The following is a 21470-nucleotide window of genomic DNA, read 5'->3' on the forward strand; positions in this document are numbered from 1 at the left end:
GACTACAATGACATGATTAAATTCCCAGGACCCTCAATCCTTGAGAGATGGACTAAATGGCTGGTATCATCACTTACAAAAGTGTCTTGGACTTGATGGATCTTAAATTGAGAAACAAAGTTTATGTTTTTTTATTTTTATCTTTTAATTCCATTTTTCCACAAACTTCAAAGTCCCCTCATATATTTGAAATTGTCACCTTTTACTGGAGGCTTGGCTTTCTATGAGATTCAAAATCCAAAATCCAAAAGTTGTCTTGCTCTACTTAGTTACTGACAGTGGTTTAACAAATATACATTCATATATGTACAATTTCCTATTGTCAAATTTATAAGCAACAAATAACACTGTATAATTAAGCCCTGGAAACTATGAAAACTACGAATGCTTCTTTCTAATTAGGAAAAGGCAGATGTAATCCAGTCCTTACTGTCAAATCACCCTACCACTACAGAAAATTTGGAGGTTTTTTGTTTTAATAGTCATAAAACATATATAAAATACTCCAAGCAAGGCTTGAAACACAGGCTAAAAAATAAGTCTACATTTAGTTTAGTGAACTCTGAAGAAAAAAACAGCAAACTGTTGGAGAGTTAGCTAGCAAGCAGGTCAAAGATGGGCAGACAAAAAAACGCATATATACCTACCTGAAATGTACCAAAATCTAAAATCAGAAGATCTGACTTTTCATGGTGGAAACCCGTCTGTGGAACTACTAGATAAGAAGGCTTCAGATTTATCCTTAAATCAAGGACTTTTCGAGTTTCAATAATATGTGTAAGTCCTAAAGACGTAAGAAATAATGACAGATTAGATGGTCAAGTTGAAATATGTAATCATATTATTAACAACTAGAATAAGAGTTTTACTTGAAAAGTATTACAGGTCGGGTGCGGTGGCTCACGCCTGTCATCCCAGCACTTTGGGAGGCCGAGACAGGCAGATCACGAGGTCAGGAGATCGAGACCATCCTGGCTAACACGGTGAAACCCCGTCTGTACTAAAAATACAAAAAAAAATTAGCCAGGCGTGGTGGCGGGCGCCTGCAGCCCCAGCTACTTGGGAGGCTGAGGCAGGAGAATGGCGTGAACCCAGGAGGCGGAGCTTGCAGTGAGCTGAGATTGTGCCACTGCACTCCAGCCTGGGCAAAAGAGCAAGACTCCATCTCAAAAAATAAAAGAAAATAAAAAATAAAAAAAAAAGAAAAGTATTACAAAGGAGTATTACTTTTTCTCACAAATTAGATTCTCAATTCAGCATGTAAGGTGAAAACTGCATATAGTCAATGGTAAACAATCTTATTATAGCACAGTATAGTAAACCCAACATAGCTAGTACTTTATGTAGGGATAGAATAATTTATTATTTCCTTGGTTAAGGAACTGGATAAAATAGTTGGCTTGAGTTTAGAGGTCATGTTATACAAAAGTAAGTATCTTTCAAACTATATTCACACACAGTGTGATTAACAGTTTCTTAAGAACTGAGATGGAGGGTTGTTTTCCATCTCAAGCTCATTCTGAAGCAGGAGTTCTTAACTGTAATGGCAGGAAGAATCATCTGTGCCCCATATTATGCTCTTTCTCACCCAGTCTATCAGGTATATTTGATTTTGAGAAAGCCATGTCCACTCTATACTGTAATACAGCCTGAGTTTAAAATAAAGAAAAAAAGCAACATAATATTTTGAATACAATGTTTACATTAGAGTAGGCAAAATTTTTAAGCTTAGCTGATGCTTATGTAGACACTCAAATTCTTCACCTGTAGCTGTTCTCTCCTTAATTTCTTCCAGCTTCATCAATGTTGCTGATGTTATTTGCTCAAGATCCAATCCCTTATTTGATTGAAAGAATTCAACCACTGCATTGACAGTTTTCTATAAGAAAATTTTTTTAACATAACCAAGTTACACATGGTTCTTTCCATATTGTAAACTTCAAAGTTTCACCTCAATTCTAAACAGCTGTAGCTTTGAACTGTGGAACTCCTAAGATATTCTGTCCTACTACATCTCCCTTTGGAGTAAAAGAGAACCTGGAGAAAGGAAGAGCCTAAGCAAGCTTACTGGAGAGGCAACAAATGTGCACATATCATTAAGGTGTAAAGTATGTTCTACAGCGTCATATGGATGTAGCAGCAGACATTACTTCTAGATTTAGCCTCCAATTAGTCAGAAGATGAAACAGTACTTCTCTACCCTGTAATTAGATTCCCTTGCACTTTGAAGTTTAGAAAATTAAGAGGAAGAAAGCCATTCAGCTCTTACCTACATGCCAAATTTAAACTTTTAAAAAATCAGAGATTTTCCAAGATGAAAACAGTTCTGGAGACTGGCTGTTCAACCATGTGAATGTACTTAACACTACTGAACTATAAACTTAAAAACAGTTAAGATGTTAAATTGAGTTACGTGTATTTTACCACAATTAAAATTTTTTAATTATAAAATATAAGGAGTTCTGCAGTCTTTATATGCTGTCCCCCCACCCACACACACACACTTTATTTAGCTTTCAGTCGTAAAGTAAAATTACATCAGGGATCTCAACAAGGTGGGGCGAACCTACAAGTGATGCAATGAGTAGTGAACCATATCCATACTGATGACTAACTTGAGATGATGGATAAGATAGCATGAATAAAAGGTAAAGTCATAGATACAGAACCTGAGCCAGAACTTCCAATAACATCTAAACATCAATGCTTTTTTCCCTTGTGAACAATATTTAAAATTATTTTAATCAGTCCTAAAGCTCTTTGAATTTGTTCCAAACATTGAAAGAAAAGAGAAAATATACAAAAAAGAACTGGAGTAGGAAGTAAACGTGTAACAATTTGGAAGTCGTTGGCAAATAAACAAGAATTTTTAAAAGTATATTAGATTTTTTAAAATTTAACAAAGGCGTAGATAAATAAACCTTGGAGTAGGGAAAAATGTATTGCATATGAAAAAAATCAAAATTAGCTGCTGAACATATACTGCTTTTGAAACAAGAAAAACCTATTAGGAAACTTACTTATTAAGTAAATAAATGTTAAATATGAAAGAGGAGAAATAAGAAAACAGTATGTCAGAAGCATAAGATGATTTAAATAAAGAGTTACTTTCTCCTTGCACTTACAGCATCATAGATGACCTCCACAGGCTGGGACTGAACAATCAGAGTCTGGTCAGCAGGACTATCCTCCGGATTGGTTTCAAATTTAATTTTAAGCAAGGATGATGTAGTGTCACCAATTGAAGCCACAAGTGATGGCACAATATCCTGCTGTCTCAAACCTGTTATATACCAGTGTTCTAATTTCGCTTCTACCCTATAATCCAATGAAGAACAAGGAAAGATGCAGACAAGGTCTTTTGTAATCTAATGGACTAAAATACAAATTTCCTTTTAAAAACGTCTTTGAGAACCAGGACCATCCATGCACATTATCCAGAGCTGAAGCTCAACCTCCTTAGCCAGGCATTCAATTGCTCACACACAATCTGGTTTGCTGCTCTTGTTGTTTTAATTAACTCCTTTCATCTACGTGAAAAACTCACTTCAACCAACTTTAGAATACTGTAAAAGTTCTGATCACTGTTGTATGAATAAAAGATCACACGACATGGATGAACTCCTCTCCCTATTTCTATGCCACTCTTAACACCCTCTTACTCCATTCCAGCTTCTCCTAGTCATTTCCATTCAGCTATCCTAGGCCTTCTCCTAGCTCAGTTATTCTCTTCCACAACTAAGCTCGTGTAGCATTAACTATGAGGCATTTAATTTTACAATACCTTCTTACCTTAGAGCTGTCTAATGTTATATAGTTCTTGAATTATTAATTTTTTGTATATCTTTTATCAGCTATAGCATACATTTCTTGAAAACAAAAACTTACTGTACTTGTCCACAGCTTTTACATTATTGAGCCTATAAATTAAATACTATCCAATAAATATTCACAAAGGAAAGGAGGGAGGGCAGAACAAATGATGAAGTACCCACACAGCTCCACAACAAAACAAGAGCAAATATAAAAAGGCTATCTTGACATATACAAGGAAAAGAAATTAAAGAGCTGGCACTAATCATTTTTAAACCTGAATAACACACATTTTTTGCCTAAAACTATAACTAAAAGTAAAAATTGAAATAAGTTTTTAAAAACTTACTTAAGTGCTTGTGCTCCTGGTCGCTGAGATACTTGAGTGCCCAGGCCAATTATCTGAATTTTTAGTATTTCTGGAATATTCTTGTTTTCTCTTATCGTAACAGAGGTGCTTACTAACTTCAGGGTCATAATATGGGCAACATACTATACAGAAAGAATGAAATTAAAATTGTTAAAGTTTAAATAATTATTACTTTCTTTAATAATTTCTTATTTAAATTTGCTGAATTATAAAGCAACCTAACAAATACAGCATGGCAGGTTCTGGCATCCACATGCTCACCATAAAGGAAAAATTCTTCATTTACAAATTTATTCACTATAAATTACAAAATTCAATACAAAATTGTCCACTCAAATAGGATGCTTACAAAAGATCTAGAAATTCATTTCTCTTAAGTTTTATTTTATTTTATTTTTGAGACAGAGACTTGCTCTATTGCCAGGCTGGAGTGCAGTGGCACAATCACAGCTCACTGCAACCTCCACCTCCTGGGTTCAAGCGACTCTCCTGCCTCAGCCTCCCGAGTAGCTGGGATCACAGGTGCCCGCCACCATGCCAAGCTAAGTTTTGTGTTTTTAGTAGAGATGGGGTTTCACCATGTTGGTCAGACTGGTCTCGAACTCCTGACCTCAGGTGATCTGCCCACCTCAGCCTCCCAGAGTGCTAGGATTAAAGGCGTGAGCCACCGTACCCAGCCCTCTCTTAGTTTTAAAGGTTATAACAATGAAACAATTACAAAGCATTTTGTGGCATAAAGATTCAATTCAGCAGCTTTTTCTGAAACAAACTAAGTATTTCAGAATAAACCTGTGGCTGAAGGAAAGAAACCTGTATAGAACATCTGCTTGATTTCTGTGCAGAGTTAGTAAGACACTGAGAAAATAAATCCTGACCCCAAAATTACTGAGTCAAGACTGGAGGTAAAACAGAGAACCAGGGAGATGATCCTGGAATTTGGGGACCTGTTTCTCCTAGAGGTATTTGGAAATTTCAAAGGGGACAGCCTAGAGGCTGTGAAGCTAGGCTAGCAGGGTCAAAATTGGAAATCAGTTCCCACCAAAGGGTAAAAGCACTGCTAAAACACATTCTTTTGCCTGGGACCCTAAAGGGCTATATATCATAAGAGTAAAGGTGAACTGGAAGCAGGCAGACTCCCATGATCTGCAGCACAGCATCAAATCATCTCAATACCTACAGTAACACTGATTGGTGCACATATACACATACACACACACTCTCACACATACACATACACACACACACACCGGTACACACACACACACACAGACAGGCTCACTAGATTCATGACAAATTGGAACAAAAACCAGCAGAAACAACAGAAAATAGATTCACAGGCGCTCTAGACATCAAGTGTCTAATTTTAGACTTACTCAGACTACTAGATTTATTAGGGTCAAAGACATAAAAGATAAAACAGAGCATGTTAGCAAAGAATTTGGAAGCTATAAAAAAAGAACCACATAGAAATTCAAGAACTGAAATATACAAAAGCCAATTAAGAATTCAATAAATGAGTTTAACAGTAATATATAAAGAGCTGAAGAGAGAATTAGAGGAAACTAACCAAAGAATAAACAGATAAAGAACTTGGAAATACCTCAGAGAAAATAAGACACACATGAGATATTATGAAAAGATCCCACTATGTACATTAGAAGAACCAAAGGATGAAGGATAAAAAAATGATGGGAAATAAAACTAGGAAGTGAGGATTTTTTTCCCAAATTGATGAAACCTCAAGATGTCCAAACAGTAAGAAGTCCAAACAGTATAAACAAAAATGAATACATATCTAGTCACATCACAGTAAAATTACTGAAAATCTAAGGTAAAGAGATTTTCTTAAAAATAGAAAAATGAGAGAGATGGGTGGAAATTACCTTTAAAGTGATACCGTAAGACTAACAGCTGAATACACAAAAGAAAATGCAGGCCAAACAACAATGAAATTATACCTTCAAAACTCAGAAAATCATTAACAACCTAGAATTCTATACACAAAAGTATCCTTCAAGAAATAAGGAAAAATAGAGATATTTTCAGAAAGACAAAAAAAATTTAAAAACTCATCACCAGCAGAACTGCATTCAACAAAATAATATAATTGGTATTGTTCAGGTAGAACGAAAATTACTGACAGATGGTCAAAGACAAAGAAAGGAATTATGTGACTGGAATATTCGATATTGCTAAAATTACAATTTTCCCCATAATAATTTACAGATTCAATGTAATCTCTAACAAAAGCAGCATGTACTTTTGAAAACACTGATAAGATTATTCTAAAAGGTATATATAAGTGGAAAAGGCCTAAAATAGCCAAAACACTCTTAAAAAAAAAAAAAAGAAAACCAAGTCAGAGGTCTTACTTTAAGACTTATAAAACTATAATAATCAAGTGCATTAGTCCATTCTCATGCTGCTAATAAAGACATACCTGAGACTGGATAATTTATCAAAGTAAGAGGTTTAATGGACCCACAGTTCCACACGGCTGGGGAGGCCTCACAATCATGGCAGAAGGCAAGGGAAGAGCAAAGACACTTCTTACATAGCAGGCAAGAGAGCTTGTGCAGGGGAACTCCCATGTGTAAAACCATCAGATCTCATGAGAATTAACTCACTATCACGACAACAGTATCGGAGAAACCAACCCCATGATTCAATTATTACCACTTGCTCTCTCCCTTGATGGTGGTGAGGGGCGGATTATGGGGATTACAATTCAAGATGAGATCTGGGAGAGGACACAAAAACCTAACCGTATAAACATCATTAGTCATTAGGAAAATGCAAATTAAAACCACAGTCGAGGAACATATCAAATCCGCTAAAATGGCTAAAATTAAAAAGCCTGGCAATATCAAATGTGGTCAAGAATATGTAGCAACTGGAACCAGTAGTAGGAATATAAAATATTACAACTTTTGGAGAAGTGTTTGCCAGTTTTTAGAAAAGTTATACATATTTACCCTATGACCCAGCAACTCTACTCCCAGGTATTTAACTCAAGAGAAGTAAAAACATATCTCCACCAAAGACTTGTACAAGTATGTTCATAGCAGTGTTATCTGTAATAGCCAAAACCAGAAACAAAAAAATATATATCAACAGGAAATAGATAAAAAATTATGGTATATTCATACAATGAAATACTATTCAGCAATGAAAAGGAACAATCTACAGACACATACTCAACATGGATGAATATCAAAAATATTATTTTGAGCAAAAGAAGATAGAAACAAAACAACGCATGAACTGGAAAAAGTAATCACGGTGACATAAGTTATAAAGTGTTTGTTTTGCAAGGCAAAAGAAGAAAAATGACTGGAAAGGGTTACAAGGGAACTTTTTGGAAGGATGGAAATGTTCTCTATCTTGTTTTTGTTGATCACCACATAGGTGTATTCAATTGTCCAAATTCATCAAATAAAATTTAAGATCTGTGCACTTTATTGTATGTAAATTCTGCCTCAACCAAATTTTAAAGACACTTATACCAATCCAACAAAAGATGTTCAACTTCTACAGATAAAATTATAAAACATTATTAGAGGAATGAAAAAGAGGTAAATAAATGGAGCCATGTGCTATATTTATAGGTGAAAAGACTCAATACTATAAAGACATAAATTCTCCCCAAATTAATTTATAGAGTCAATAAAATCCCAATGAAAATCTCAAGTTTTTATAGAAACTGAACAGCTGATTCTAAAATTTATGTGGAAATTTTAAGGACCAAGAATAGAAAAGGTAATCATAAAGAACACGAGAGTTTAAAGATTTCTACAACAAGGTCAAAGGACTGATTACAAAGTTACAGTAACTAAGACACAATACTACAAAGACAGACAAATGGCCAATGGAATAAAGCAGGAATTCCACAAATATGGACACTTAACTGATGATAAAGAGGTAAATGGAGAGCAGTGGCAAAGGCAACCGGTGCTATGTAAGGAGACAGCTATATGGACAAAAACTGAATCTTAACCCCAACTTCACACCATACACAAAAATCAATTTTAGACAGACCATAAATCTAAATACATAAAGTAAGACAATATAAAACTTCTAGAAGCATAGTTTCATGACCTTGCAATGAGGAAAGACTTTTAAACAGGACACCAAAAAAGCATTAGCCAAAAAGGAAAAGATTAATAAAGAAAATAAATATTAAAAATAAGAAGTCTAGCCATCAAAAGATATTATTAATGAATGAAAATGGGGATGGGAGTGGTGGCTCACACCTGTAATCCCAGCACTTTGGGAGGCCAAGGCAAGCAGGTCGCTTGAGCTCAGGAGTTTGAGACCAGCCTGGGCAATGTGGCAAAACCCTGTCTCTACAAAAAAAAAAAAAATACAAAAAATTAGCTGGGCATGGTGGCACATGCCTGTAATTCCAGCTACTCGGGTGGCTTGAGGCAGGAGACTCACTTCAACCCAGGAGGCAGAGGATGCAGTAAGCCAAGATCGTGCCACTGCACTCCTGCCTGGGAGAGTAAGACCCTGTCTCAAAAGAAAAAAAAAACAGAGAATGAAAATGTACTTTACATTGTGGGCAGACAGACTTGCAACACAACTAAAAGTGAAAAGCCAACCCACGTTTTTGGGGAAGATATTAACATCTAACTAGCAAAGGCCTCATATCCAGAATATATAAAGAATTCCTACAAACCAATAAGAAAAAAAGACAACCTAATAATGAAGAAGAGACTCAAAACCCACTTTCACAAAATAGCATATCTAAAGACCAAAGACCAATACATACATAAAAAGTGCAAAACCTCTTTAGTCATCCAGGAAATGCAAATTAAAACCGTAATATTACAATTACTTTTGCACCAACCTAATACTACTACTATTCATCCCCATTTAGAATGGCTAAAATTTAAAAGATTGATAATGCCAAGTGCTGGTGAAGACGTGAAGCAATAATTATCCTCGCATACTGATAGCGGAAGTGTTTTCCACATTGGAAAACTATTTAATATGCTCATATCCTATGACTCAGCAATTCCACTCCTCAGTAAACGTTATCTTACACATCCACACTAAAAGACACAAGTTCAGAGCAGCATTATTCATGATAAACAAGAAACAACCCAAATGTTCATCAACAACAGTACAAATAAATAAGATGTGGTATTTTCAAATAACTGAATCCCATACAGCAATGAAAGTTAGTAAAATACATCTACTGCAACAACAGGGATGAATCTCACAAGAACAAAACTAGAAACAGAAAATATATATTTTATAAGGCCATTTATAGAAAGATTAAAAATATGCAAAACAAAATAACAGTATTGGTAGTAAAAAACAAAAAGAAATAAAAGATATGATTACCACAAAAATCAAGGTAACAGTTACCTTTGGAGAAGCAATGATGGGGGATCTAGGGACTTCTAAGGTGACAGCAATATTCTAAATCTTGACCTTGATAATAATTGCACACCTGTTCCCTTTTTAGTCAATCAAATAGGCAGTACATTTTGGTTTTGCTTACTTTTTTATATATGTTATGCTTCACAAGTTGAAAAAAATTTTTAAGATAAAATTTTTTTAAGATTCAGTTTAGCACTATAATAAGTACTTTTGTCAGGTTATTCTTATGTTCACTAAAACTACTTAAATCTAAAGTTGGAGGCTGGGCACGGTGGCTCACCCCTGTAATCCCAGCACTTTGGGAGGCCGAGGAAGGCAGGTCACCTGAGGTCAGGAATTTGAAACCAGCCTGGTCAACATGGCAAAACCTCGTCTCCACTAAAAACACAAAAATTAGCCAGGCAGGGTGGCAGGTGCCTGTAATCCCAGCTACTCAGGAGGCTGAGGCAGGAGAATCACTTGAACCCAGGAGGCAGAGGTTGCAGTGAGCCAAGATCACGCCACTGCACTCCAGCCTGGGTGACAGAGCGAGACTCCATCTCAAAAAATCAAATAAAATAAAGTTAGAGAGAGAATTTTAATTGGTAAAACCTGACTGAAACATTCAACCATTAAGTAGCAGAGTGGAATTAATAACATTTATATTACTTAAAAAAATCAGTAAGTCTAATCCAATTCAATCTAATATAGTACAATGAGACAAAATTCCTTTAAACCACTTAAATAATTACCTGCTTAGGTAAAGTTAGGTTGTGGGTACTCTCACTATAACCAATGGCAGTGAAGAGTTTATCTTTTTCCTCTGGAGTCATAAGGTCATCAATAGCTATGAAAAAACAACATTTTAAGAAATTAATTGCTTCCATTTTACAAATATAACTAAAAAGACTAACCAAACTAACAAGTATCCTAAAATCAACAGACACAAATGCTAAAGCAAAATTAGCCAGGTAATATCCTCTAATATACTACAACTTTGACCAAACATATTCTATTTGCTTGCTAAGGTCAAGAAAAGGCAAAGAGACACCATTAAGGAAATTCAGTTCTAATATATGGGTTTTAGAATTCCCTAAGTATTTTAAAACTTAAGTGAAACTTTTAATTGAATATCTATGCAAAAGGTAACAAAAAATGCTAAATGTTGAGATCTTTAAATTTAAACATTTTAAATTTGACATAAATATTATTTCACAAACAAAAAAATCAATGTTTTATTTTAGTCTAAGTTTTATTTTAGATAAACAGGAATATTCCAGCCTGATGTATTTGCTTATATATTTACTATACTGAGGTAATTTATTTCAAATGTATTTCAAAATAAAATTCAACAGGGAAGATATAATTTACACAGTTTTTTTTTAACTTAACACTGTACAATAAGTTATTTGACTTGGAACTTACTTTCAGGAATCAATGATTCTTCGTCCTTTTTCTTAGACTCTTTCTTACCCCACAACCCACTAAACCAGCCTCCACGTTTCTCGCCTGTGTCAGCAGACTTTTTCCTTAATTTTTGCCCAGACCGAATCACCTGAAAAATAAAAATTAAAAAATTTACTTTAAGAATGTTGCCCTCTTCATTTTCAGGTGTAGCCTGGGAAAAAAAAACAATGGTTCTTTTTTTTTTTTTAACGCTACGTAACATTGCACCAGTCAAGATCTTAAATGATGCTCACAACATAATTTAGTTAAATGCAGTCTCCCTATTAGTTTATTAATACTTCTCACACCAACTGATAGCATTTTGATAAGGCTGCATGTTATGAGCAATATAGTTAAGGTTTCAGGTAAAATACTTCTAAGCAATGTGACTTCCAAATTCTTCCAAATTTTTAAGTTAAGAAGCCACCAGAACTGCATGTTTATAAAATGAAAAGTTCCTTGAAAGGAAACACACCCAAAAAAGTATTAATTTAAAACAATTATATTTCAGAATTCATATACAATGCTGGCTTGCTAACTAGGACAGTGGCAGAAGGAGGGATATAAATTAAAATAGTCCTTAAATCTAATTTCACCCTCTTTTCTCAACAAATCCTGACTTGATTTTCTATCACTCCTTCTCTTTGCCCACTTTTCAGAGAAATATGGATGAATAACCAAAAGGCAGAATACAGGGATAAACAAAATAAAGGGGATAAGTAATTTAGATTATATGTTCTCATTCCCTGAATAAGTAAATTTCAATAATTTTTCCACTTAAAGTATTTGAAATTGGTAGTGAATCGGTAACATATTGTAAGCCTCTGTGTGTAATAAAAAGTGGAATAATACAAAAGAGAAGATAAAAGTAAAGAGTTGAATTCTATAGTAAAGAGAACAGGTTTGATTGGTGAATGTAAAGACTAAGGATGGGCAAAATGTTAAACTTTTGTCACAAGCTAGGGATGAGTATATACATTTTCAAGCCCTGTTTGAAACTGCAAGATGAAAGTAAATGACAAATCAGCTACTGTGGATACCACAGCTCAGTGGTATTCAATCCTTGCTGCACAAAAGAATCATCTAGAAGCTTTATGAGAAAAAATGCCAAAGCCAAAGCCCCACCACACAACAATTAAATCAAATCTTGAGAGAGTGGGTTCTCTCTCAAGAAAGAGGTATTTTTTTTTTAATTCCCCTGGTGATTCTAACATGCAGCCAAGGTTCAGAACCACTGAGATGACAACAAACTAGTTTCCTTCAACAGCAGAGATCATGATAAAGGGAATTAACTGCTTCAACAGTTTCACAAGTAGATAAAACCGAGCTTTTTTGGAAATGACACCCAATTAAATGTATATCATCTGAGTTTTTCCACTTTTAAGAATCTTCTATGAATTCTTTTAGGGAAAATGCAACCAGAAACTTCAAGTTTGAACCTCTCTTAGATACTGAGACTTAATAAACAGATGAATTCATGAACAGTTTTTACAAATCTAAAAGCAGAAAAAGCTAAAAAGCATTTGGATATTTTATTAACATCTCTTTTAACCAAACTGATAGCTTTAAGTTTTAAAAGGGCAGGCACTAAATTGTATTTTTTCATTGTTACCATATTCTTAGCTACCATAAAAATTATTCTTTATAAAAATAGATAATATATTTTTTTACACTTTGGGGTAAAGAAGCCATTTTATTTTGGAAAAAAAAATTAACTGAAATTAACCTTTTTAAAATATCCTAAGAGAAATCAAGATAGTATGGCGACAAACCCCAACATTCAACTTCCTCCCAAGTCTCTACCTAAATATCTGAAAACCTTTAAAAGAAAGATAAAGCCATTATTAGCATTAGCGTTGAAATCTTAAAGGTGTGATCAGCATGCTACAAATTTCAAGGAATTTAAAAATAAACTGAAAATTTTACACATAATAAAGAGAAAAAGAGATGAATTAGGAAAGCACACAATCAAAAATACTAATTTCAAACATAGAAAGGCTATGAAGAAAATGAAGTAACAAAGAACAGTGAAGAAAAGTTTTCCTACGTTTGTCAATTACCATTTAAAAATAAATAAGAATTAATATTTAAAAATATGAGAGCTGTCACAGAACTATACACACACATCATACCAATGTCAAATTCTTGGTTTTGGTATTGTACTATATTATGTAGATGTAAGCACTGGGAGAAACAGGTGAAGGGTACACAGTACCTCTGTGAACTATCTTTGCTACTTATTGTAAACCTATAGTTATTTCAAAGCATATATATATATATATGAGACCAAAAATAAATAAAAATATACAAATGAGACCTAAGATGAAGACGGATGCAGAGCGCTTTCCCTTTCCCTCAATTACCCCCTTGGTGCCTTCACTTCCTTCTCTGTCCAACTAAGTTGCCCATGGTAAATAACTTCAGCCAATCCTCCGCCTACATTTTAAACTCAGGCCCTATGTACTTTCCATTACAATGAAAAAAATCAATGTTAGATAGATCAAATTGCCTTCTCTTCTACATCCATCCTTCTTTGTCTACTGCATCCCAATATTAGTTCTCTTTCTTCACTTTTTAAGCAACTGTAGCTGGTACTAAGAATACACATTTAAGCTAAAGCAACTTAAGTCATGGAGGATTGAAATTGTTATCCTCCGGTGATTCATTCCTCTCTTTCATAGGAACAATCCCCAGCAGTAGCAAATACCTTTTAAAATATTCATACTTTCTGACCTAATAACTTGTACCTTGGGGAATTTGCCTGTGAGAAAATAAGGGATGTTTGAGAAAATGCAGAGATAAGGCTATTCATTGTAGAGTCACTTACAATTAAATATAGCCAGTGAGAAACAGTGAAGCAAATTCTGGTATATGCACAGAATGGAATACTATTCAGCTATCTTTTTTTTTTTTTGAGATGGATTCTCACTCTGTCACCCAGGCTGGAGTGCAATGGCATGGTCTCGGCTCACTGCAACCTCCACCTCCCGGGTTCAAGCGATTCTCCTGCCTCAGTCTCCCAAGTAGCTGAGATTACATGTGTGTGCCACCACACCCGGCTAATTTTTGTATTTTTAGTAGAGACAGGGTTTCACTATGTTGGCCAGGCTGGTCTCAAACTCCTGACCTCGTGATCTGCCCATCTCAGCTTCCCAAAGGGCTGGGATTACAGGAGTGGGCCATCACATCGGCCTCTATTCAGCTATCTTAAATGATGTCAGATAAATGATTCTGCTGACATTGAAAATGGATACTACAATTTTTTTAAAGAAAGAAAAGCAAGTTACAAAACCTTCTCTTGACTCCACATTGTCCACCACTTACTGCTCCATTTATCTGCTCTGCTTACAGCAAAGAATCATACTGTTCCTACTCACTGTCTCCCATTCCCAGTCGTTCATGCTCTCTCATTCCTATCAAGCTTCTGCCCACATTATTCTATAAAAATTGCTCTTAAGTTACTTCTTTATTACTAATTTCAGTGAAAGTTTTAGTTCCATGGTGGCATAAGCCATCTTCAACCCAAATAAAACTTCTGAACAAAATATAAAAAAGATCTACCCGAGACTTTGAAAAGTAAGCAAAGCAGGCAAATAGTAGAAGGGGTCACAATTTGGAGAGTGACCTGCACAAGACTGAGTTTTCCATGACGTTTGTTTTTCTCACATGTTGTGCCCACCCCATTCCACCCCACCACCATAATCTCCCATTTCTAATGTTCTTGCCCTTGAGCATGGGCATGACTTGCAACTAGTTTCTAAACAATAAAGTATGGCAAAGGTAATAAAATATACTTGATTCTGTGTACAATGTGTATGTTATATACACAAGACTTTAGTGACCATCCTGCTGCAGTTTCTCTCTTCTTTTGAAGAAGAAAGCTGCCATGTTATGGTTGTCTATGTTGGGAAGCCCATTAGGCAAGGAACTGAAGATGATATTTAGAAGCTGAGGGCAGCTCTAGCCAGAAATCAACAAAAAGCTGGAGCCTTCCATCCCACAGCCACGAAGAGCTAAATTCTGCCAAGGAAAGTGGATCCTCCATCAGTCACGTTTCAGATACCATAGTCCCAAACCAACATCTTGCAATATTTTAAAACCTTAAGCAGAGGACTCAATTAACCCATACCTAGACTCCAGACCCAGAGAAACTCAGAGATAATAGCTATGTGTTGTTTCAAGCCACTACGTTTGTTATACAGACATAGAAAACTACTATACATGGCTCTGCCCTGAGCAAGGGCCTCACCATGGAGCACAGCAGAGGAACATGGAGCACAGTTGCACAGGCAGCTAAAACCCTGAGAAAAACTCCGTATTTCCGGCCAAGGAACCAGTAAATGGAGTTCATGAAGGCCAGAATGTATGTGAGAAAACCCTGGCAGGGAAAGAGCTGGAGAAGGGGATATCTCTTAATTCTGTATATGAACCTGTCAAAATCTCAGTCTAATACAAGCTTCACATATGTGAAACTAACCCAAACCAAAGTAGCAAAGGTCTTAGCCACATGAACTAATATGAACCACCCACGCAAGTCTCAAACTAACCCCAGTAATATTCACGTGTAAAACAAACTCAAACTTACATACCAAAGGTTTAAAGAGCTGAACTGAAATCTGAACCACCATCCACAGAAGGCAAACACAACTTAGATTCATAACTTAACTAGGTTGTACACTAACACAAAATGTCAACATTTTCCAGAGGATTATAACAAGATCCAGAGATTATATAATAATCACAATGTCAAAAATACAATCCAAAATTACTTGACATACGAAAACAAATAAAACTGAAAATGTAAACAATTCTCAAGGAAAAGATAATCAGCAGATGCCAGTAATCAGATAACTTCGATGTCTGATAGCTGGAACTATCAGAGAGGCACTGAAACTATAGTACATGACATAAAGGCAAACACACTGGAAATTACTAAAAAGATTGGAATCTTCAATAGAGAAATGCAAACTATAAAAAAAAACTCAATAGTAATTTTAGACCTGAAAAATATAATATCTGAAATTAAAAACTCCCAGGATGGGTTCAATAGCAAAATGAAGATGACAGAAGAAAGACAGAACTTGAAGATAGATCAACAGAAATTATCTAGCCTTAGAGAGAGAAAAAAGACTGCAGGAAAAAAAAATGATGAACAGAGCACCAAAAGGTCTAAATACACACACACACACACACACACACACACATATATATATATTACATATACACACATATATCTTATATATGAATACATATATCTTATACATATGGCTGTTTTCATCCTTGCCTATATATTTTACATACATACATATATATATATATGTATAGAATATAAAATTAAGAGTCCAAATAATCAAGAGTGCAAAAGAAGAGAATAAAAAGAAATTGGTGCCAAAAAATTACTTGAAAAACGTCATGGCTAAAAATATCCCATATTTAGTAGGTTTAATGTTCAATTCTGTCCTATCTTAGTTAAAAAATCAGGTGCATCTGTCACAGTTGATCACTTTCTCTTCCTTGAAATTCTTTCTTCACTTGAATTTGAAGGTGTTACATTCATACAGCTTCCCTATTACAACTCTGGCAATCCCTTTATGGTCACCTTTGCTGGTTCTTTCCCATCCCTCTGATTGTAACAATAGAAGCTTTGGATCTTTGCAACTCTCCTCTTCTCTAGCTATTCTAATTCCTGAGGTGATCTCATGCAATCTCATGGCTTTAAAGAAATCCATGTGCTGACCCTTCCTACATTTCTATATCCAGCACAGACTCCTCTTCTGAACTCCACATAATTGCCTACTCCACTGCCCCTCTGAGGTCTAAGAGATAGCTAAAACTTAATAGGTCCCAAACTGAACTCCTGGTCTTCTCTCATCTCACTCAAGCTTGTTCTCTCCCATCTTCCCCCTCTTATTTGATAGCAAATCCATCCTTCCAACTGCTCCAAGTCAAAATATTTAAAGGCATTTTTTACTCTCTCTCCTACAACTCACATCTAGTCAGTCAGGAAATACTGGCTGTACCCTCAAAGTATATCTAGAATCTGACCCTTTCTGATCACCTTTATTTGCAACCATTCTCAGTAAAGCTACTATCACCACTCATCTCAACTATTTCAATAGCCTCCTAACTGCTCCCCCTGTCTTCACTCTTGCCTTCCTTCCTACAGTCTGCTTTCAAAGTAGCCAGGGTGAATTTTAAAACTTATGCCAGATCATATCACCCTGTTTCAAAACCTACTATTAGTTTCCCAATTCAGAGTAAGAGCCAAAATCCACACAATGGCTTGTAAGATGCTACACAATCTGGCAATCTCAACTCCCACGAGCAGCCCTCCCATTCCTCTGCTACCTTACTTCTCTGACCTCATCAACCACCACTCTTCCCTCTCTCAGGACTCCAGTTAGTTTCCTGAATGAGCCAGGTATGTTCCAACCCCAAAACCTTTAAGCAGTTACACTTTATTATTTCTGCCTGGTTATACCTTTCCCTTAGATATCTTTCTGGCTGATTGCCCCATGGTCTTCAGATCTTTGCTCAAATGTTTCCTTGTTAGTGAGGCTTTTCCTGACAACCCTGTTTAAAACTGCAAATCATCATCACTGACTAGCTTCAGTGCTCCTTATATTCTTTCCTACTTTATTCTTATTGAAGTACTTATTAACCTTGTCCCCTACTACAATATAAATAAAAGATTTTTGTCTGTTTTGTTCATTTATGTAGGCTAATGCAAATGATAATGACAATGAAAAAAAATCACGTGTTTAGTAACTGCTATGTGCCAGGCACATAATCATTTAAGTGTTTTACATGAATTATGAGGTACTCCTAACAATAACCCTAAGACATAGGTACTACTAATTAATCTCATCTCACAAATCAGGAAACTAAGGCACAGAGGGGTCAAACGGCCCAAAATCATATAATTAGTAGATGGCAAAGCTGGGATCAGAATCCAGACCATCTGACTCCCAAGTCTATACTTTTAGCCATAATGCAAGCATAACAGACACTCAGTGAGTACTTGCTAAACAAATGAACAAGTGTAGAGATGACCCTTGAACAACATGGGTTTGAACGGCATGAGTACACTTATACAAGGATTTTCTTCTGCCTCTGCTACCCCTGAGACAATCCTCCTCTTTCTCCTCCCACTCCTCAGCTTACTCAATGTGAAGACCTTTATGGTGATCGACTTCTACTTACTGAATAGTAAATATATTTTCACTTTCTTATAATTTTCTTAATAACATTTTCTTTTCTCTGGCTTACTTTATTGTAAGAATACAGTGTACAATACATATAACATCTAAAAATATGTGTTAATCAACTATTTATCAATAAGGCTTTTGGTTAACAGTAGGCTATCAGTAGTTAAGTTTTTGAAGAATCTAAAGTTATACACAGGCCAGGCACGGTGGCTCATGCCTGTAATCCCAGCACTTTGGGAGGCCAAGGCGGGTGGATCACCTGAGGTCAGGAGTTCGAGACCAGCCTGGCCAATGTGGTGAAACCCCATCTCTACTAAAAATACAAAAATTAGCCGGGCATGGTGGCACATGCCTATAGTCCCAGATACTCAGGAGGCTGAGACAGGAGAATCGCTTGAAACCTGGGAGGTAGAGGTTGCAGTGACCCAAGATTGCGCCACTGCACTCCAGCCTGGACAACAGAGCAAGACTCCATCTCAAAAAAAAAAAAAAGAGAGAGAGAGAGAGAAAGTAGTTATACACAAATTTTTAATTGTGTGGGGGCTTGGCGTCCCTAACGTTCAGTTTGTTCAAGGGTCAACTGTATATGCCTTAATCTCATTTAAAAGTATGAGTAAGTACATGGACATCTGTAACTATAAAAAGGACTAAAAGGATATACAGAAAGGTATTAACAGTAGTTACTTTTAGTTTCTGAGATGAGTGTTTTTGTTTTATTTATCTATATTTTCTAATTTTTCTACAATGAGTTACATTGCATTTGTAATTTTTTTTCATCACCAAAAAGTCATGTTACAGAATCTTAGAAATGACATGGAACACTGCGCACAAGGCATCAATAAATAAGCAGTTATAAAACATTATCAGTAGATCATTTCCAATTTCAGAAAGAAAGGAAAAAAAGGAAGAAAGTGAAGGAAAGAGGAAGGAAGGAAAGGAGAAAAGAAAGAAGAGAGGGAGAGAAGGAAGAAGGAAGGGAAGGAAGAGGAAACAAAGAAAAAGTAAAAAAAAAAAAAAAAAGGAGATAAAAAGCATAAATACGCAGGTATATAAGCATGGGAGAAAAACTGATAGCCAAAATTATCACAGTAGTATTCTAAGTTGTCAGAATTATAGATGTCTTTTATTTACTTTCTTCTTGGAGTTTTTCAGATTTTTCATTATAAAATTTTCTAAGTGGCCAGGCGCAGTGGCTCACGCCTGTAATCCCAGCACTTTGAGAGGCCGAGGTGAGTGGATCACCTGAGGTCAGGAATTCAAGACCAGGCTGGCCAACATGGCAACAACCCATCTCTACTAAAACTACAAAAAAAAATTAGCCGGGCGTGGTGGCACACGCCTATGATCCCAGCTCTCAGGAGGCTGAGGTAGGAGAATCACTTGCACCCGGGAGGCAGAGGCTGCAGCGAGCCAAGATCACGCCACTGCATCCCAGCCCGGGAGACAGAGCAAGACTCCATCTCAAAAAAAAATAATAATAAAAATAAGGTTTTTTTTCCCCTTCATATTAGTGGCTTTTTTTCAGTACTCCAGTTTCTTTTCTCCTGAGACTAAATTAAGCAATAAAAACCTCACCTCGTGAAACTTCAATTTCTTGATCCTAGGTTTAAAAGCGGGCATTAACATGTTTAAAACATAAAATCAGCTAATAAAAATGATTACCTCAACTTGTGCTTGTTGCCTTGCTAAAATTATGTTAAAAACATCTAGAGTCTTCTCCAAGTCCTGTAAAAAACAGAGGCACTTATAAACAAGAAATTTAATCATTAGATAAAAGAAATTTTTCTTTCATGATTTCTAGGCATATCTAGTCCATTATCAGTACCTGTGACCTAATGAAAGTATTAGTATAAATTTGAATGTATTCTAGACTTTTAAATTTTTTAATTTTTTACAGTAAGAGAAAATAAGTTTTCTAAGAAAATAAATCCTCATTAAATATAGTATGAAAATAATTTTTCTGTGAGACCATTATAATTAACACATAGACATAAATGCACATGAAAACAAGAATATTTAGGAAGAGGACTTGTTTTACATTTATCATCCTTATGATTCTTACTTCTAACTCCCCCCATTCTTATCATTACATAGCCATTGTACTAACGGTGACATTACAAAACACATAATATTTAAGAATGTAAAATTCTGCAAATCAATAATTAGGCTAAAGTAGAAACTGATTTGAGGCATTTATATAAAAGTACGTGGGGGAATCCAACATTAACCAGGTGACCTGTGTTCCAAGTGCTTTATGTGCTGTCTCATACAATTCTCACCACTCTGTAAGACAGATATTGTTACCATTTTATATACGAGAACACTAGACCTGAGAGTTTGAGAAACTTGTGTCCATAATCAGAAGGACACTTGGTAAATATCCAAGTCAGTACTTGAACCCAAATCCATCTGACGCCAATAACTACGCTTTTTCTAATATTTCACACTGGTGATTGTGATATACTTCAGAAAAATAGGAATTCAACTCATTTTTCACATTATGAATCATTGCTAGAAATAGTTCTATAACTGAAATCATAAGACATTAAGCAAATTATGTATCCAGTGTGTTTCTACCTTTTATTTTTTTTGATTATTTGTTTGTTCGTATTTACTTTTTTTTTATTATTAGTATACTTTAAGTTTTAGGGTACATGTGCACAACGTGCAGGTTAGTTACATATGTATACATGTGCCATGCTGGTGCGCTGCACCCACTAACTTGTCATCTAGCATTAGGTATATCTCCCAATGCTATCCCTCCCCCTCCCCACAACCCACAACAGTCCCCAGAGTGTGATGTTCCCCTTCCTGTGTCCATGTGTTCTCATTGTTCAGTTCCCACCCATGAGTGAGAATATGCGGTGTTTGGTTTTTTGTTCTTGCGATAGTTTACTGAGAATGATGATTTCCAATTTCATCCATGTCCCTACAAAGGACATGAACTCATCATTTTTTATGACTGCATAGTATTCCATGGTGTATATGTGCCACATTTTCTTAATCTAGTCTATCATTGTTGGACATTTGGGTTGGTTCCGAGTCTTTGCTATTGTGAATAATGCCGCAATAAACATATGTGTGCATGTGTCTTTATAGCAGCATGATTTATAGTCCTTTGGGTATATACCCAGTAATGAGATGGCTGGGTCAAATGGTATTTCTAGTTCTAGTTCCCTGAGGAATCCCCACGCTGACTTCCACAATGGTTGAACTAGTTTACAGTCCCACCAACAGTGTAAAGGTGTTCCTATTTCTCCACA

At 35.6% G+C, this 21470-nt stretch overlaps 1 protein-coding gene across 9 annotated transcripts in view; it reads right to left on the reverse strand.

Annotated features, from left to right (window-relative positions):
• The window catches only part of VPS13C (vacuolar protein sorting 13 homolog C), a 208059-nt gene that overhangs the window by 128306 nt on the left and 58283 nt on the right, over nucleotides 1-21470 (reverse strand). For all 9 annotated transcript variants that reach the window (XR_007064464.1, NM_017684.5, NM_020821.3 and 6 more), the window contains 7 exons: nucleotides 19870-19932; nucleotides 10979-11108; nucleotides 10306-10400; nucleotides 4163-4305; nucleotides 3126-3318; nucleotides 1765-1879; nucleotides 648-784 (listed from right to left, as the gene is read on the reverse strand). Coding sequence is in view for 8 of the 9 variants with exons in the window: in NM_017684.5 (NP_060154.3) it covers nucleotides 648-784; nucleotides 1765-1879; nucleotides 3126-3318; nucleotides 4163-4305; nucleotides 10306-10400; nucleotides 10979-11108; nucleotides 19870-19932 (876 nt within the window). In the remaining variant the exon portion in view is untranslated. The remainder of the gene's footprint in view (nucleotides 1-647; nucleotides 785-1764; nucleotides 1880-3125; nucleotides 3319-4162; nucleotides 4306-10305; nucleotides 10401-10978; nucleotides 11109-19869; nucleotides 19933-21470) is intronic.

This window comes from Homo sapiens, chromosome 15 (assembly GCF_000001405.40).
Source record: "Homo sapiens chromosome 15, GRCh38.p14 Primary Assembly".
NCBI lineage: Eukaryota > Metazoa > Chordata > Mammalia > Primates > Hominidae > Homo > Homo sapiens.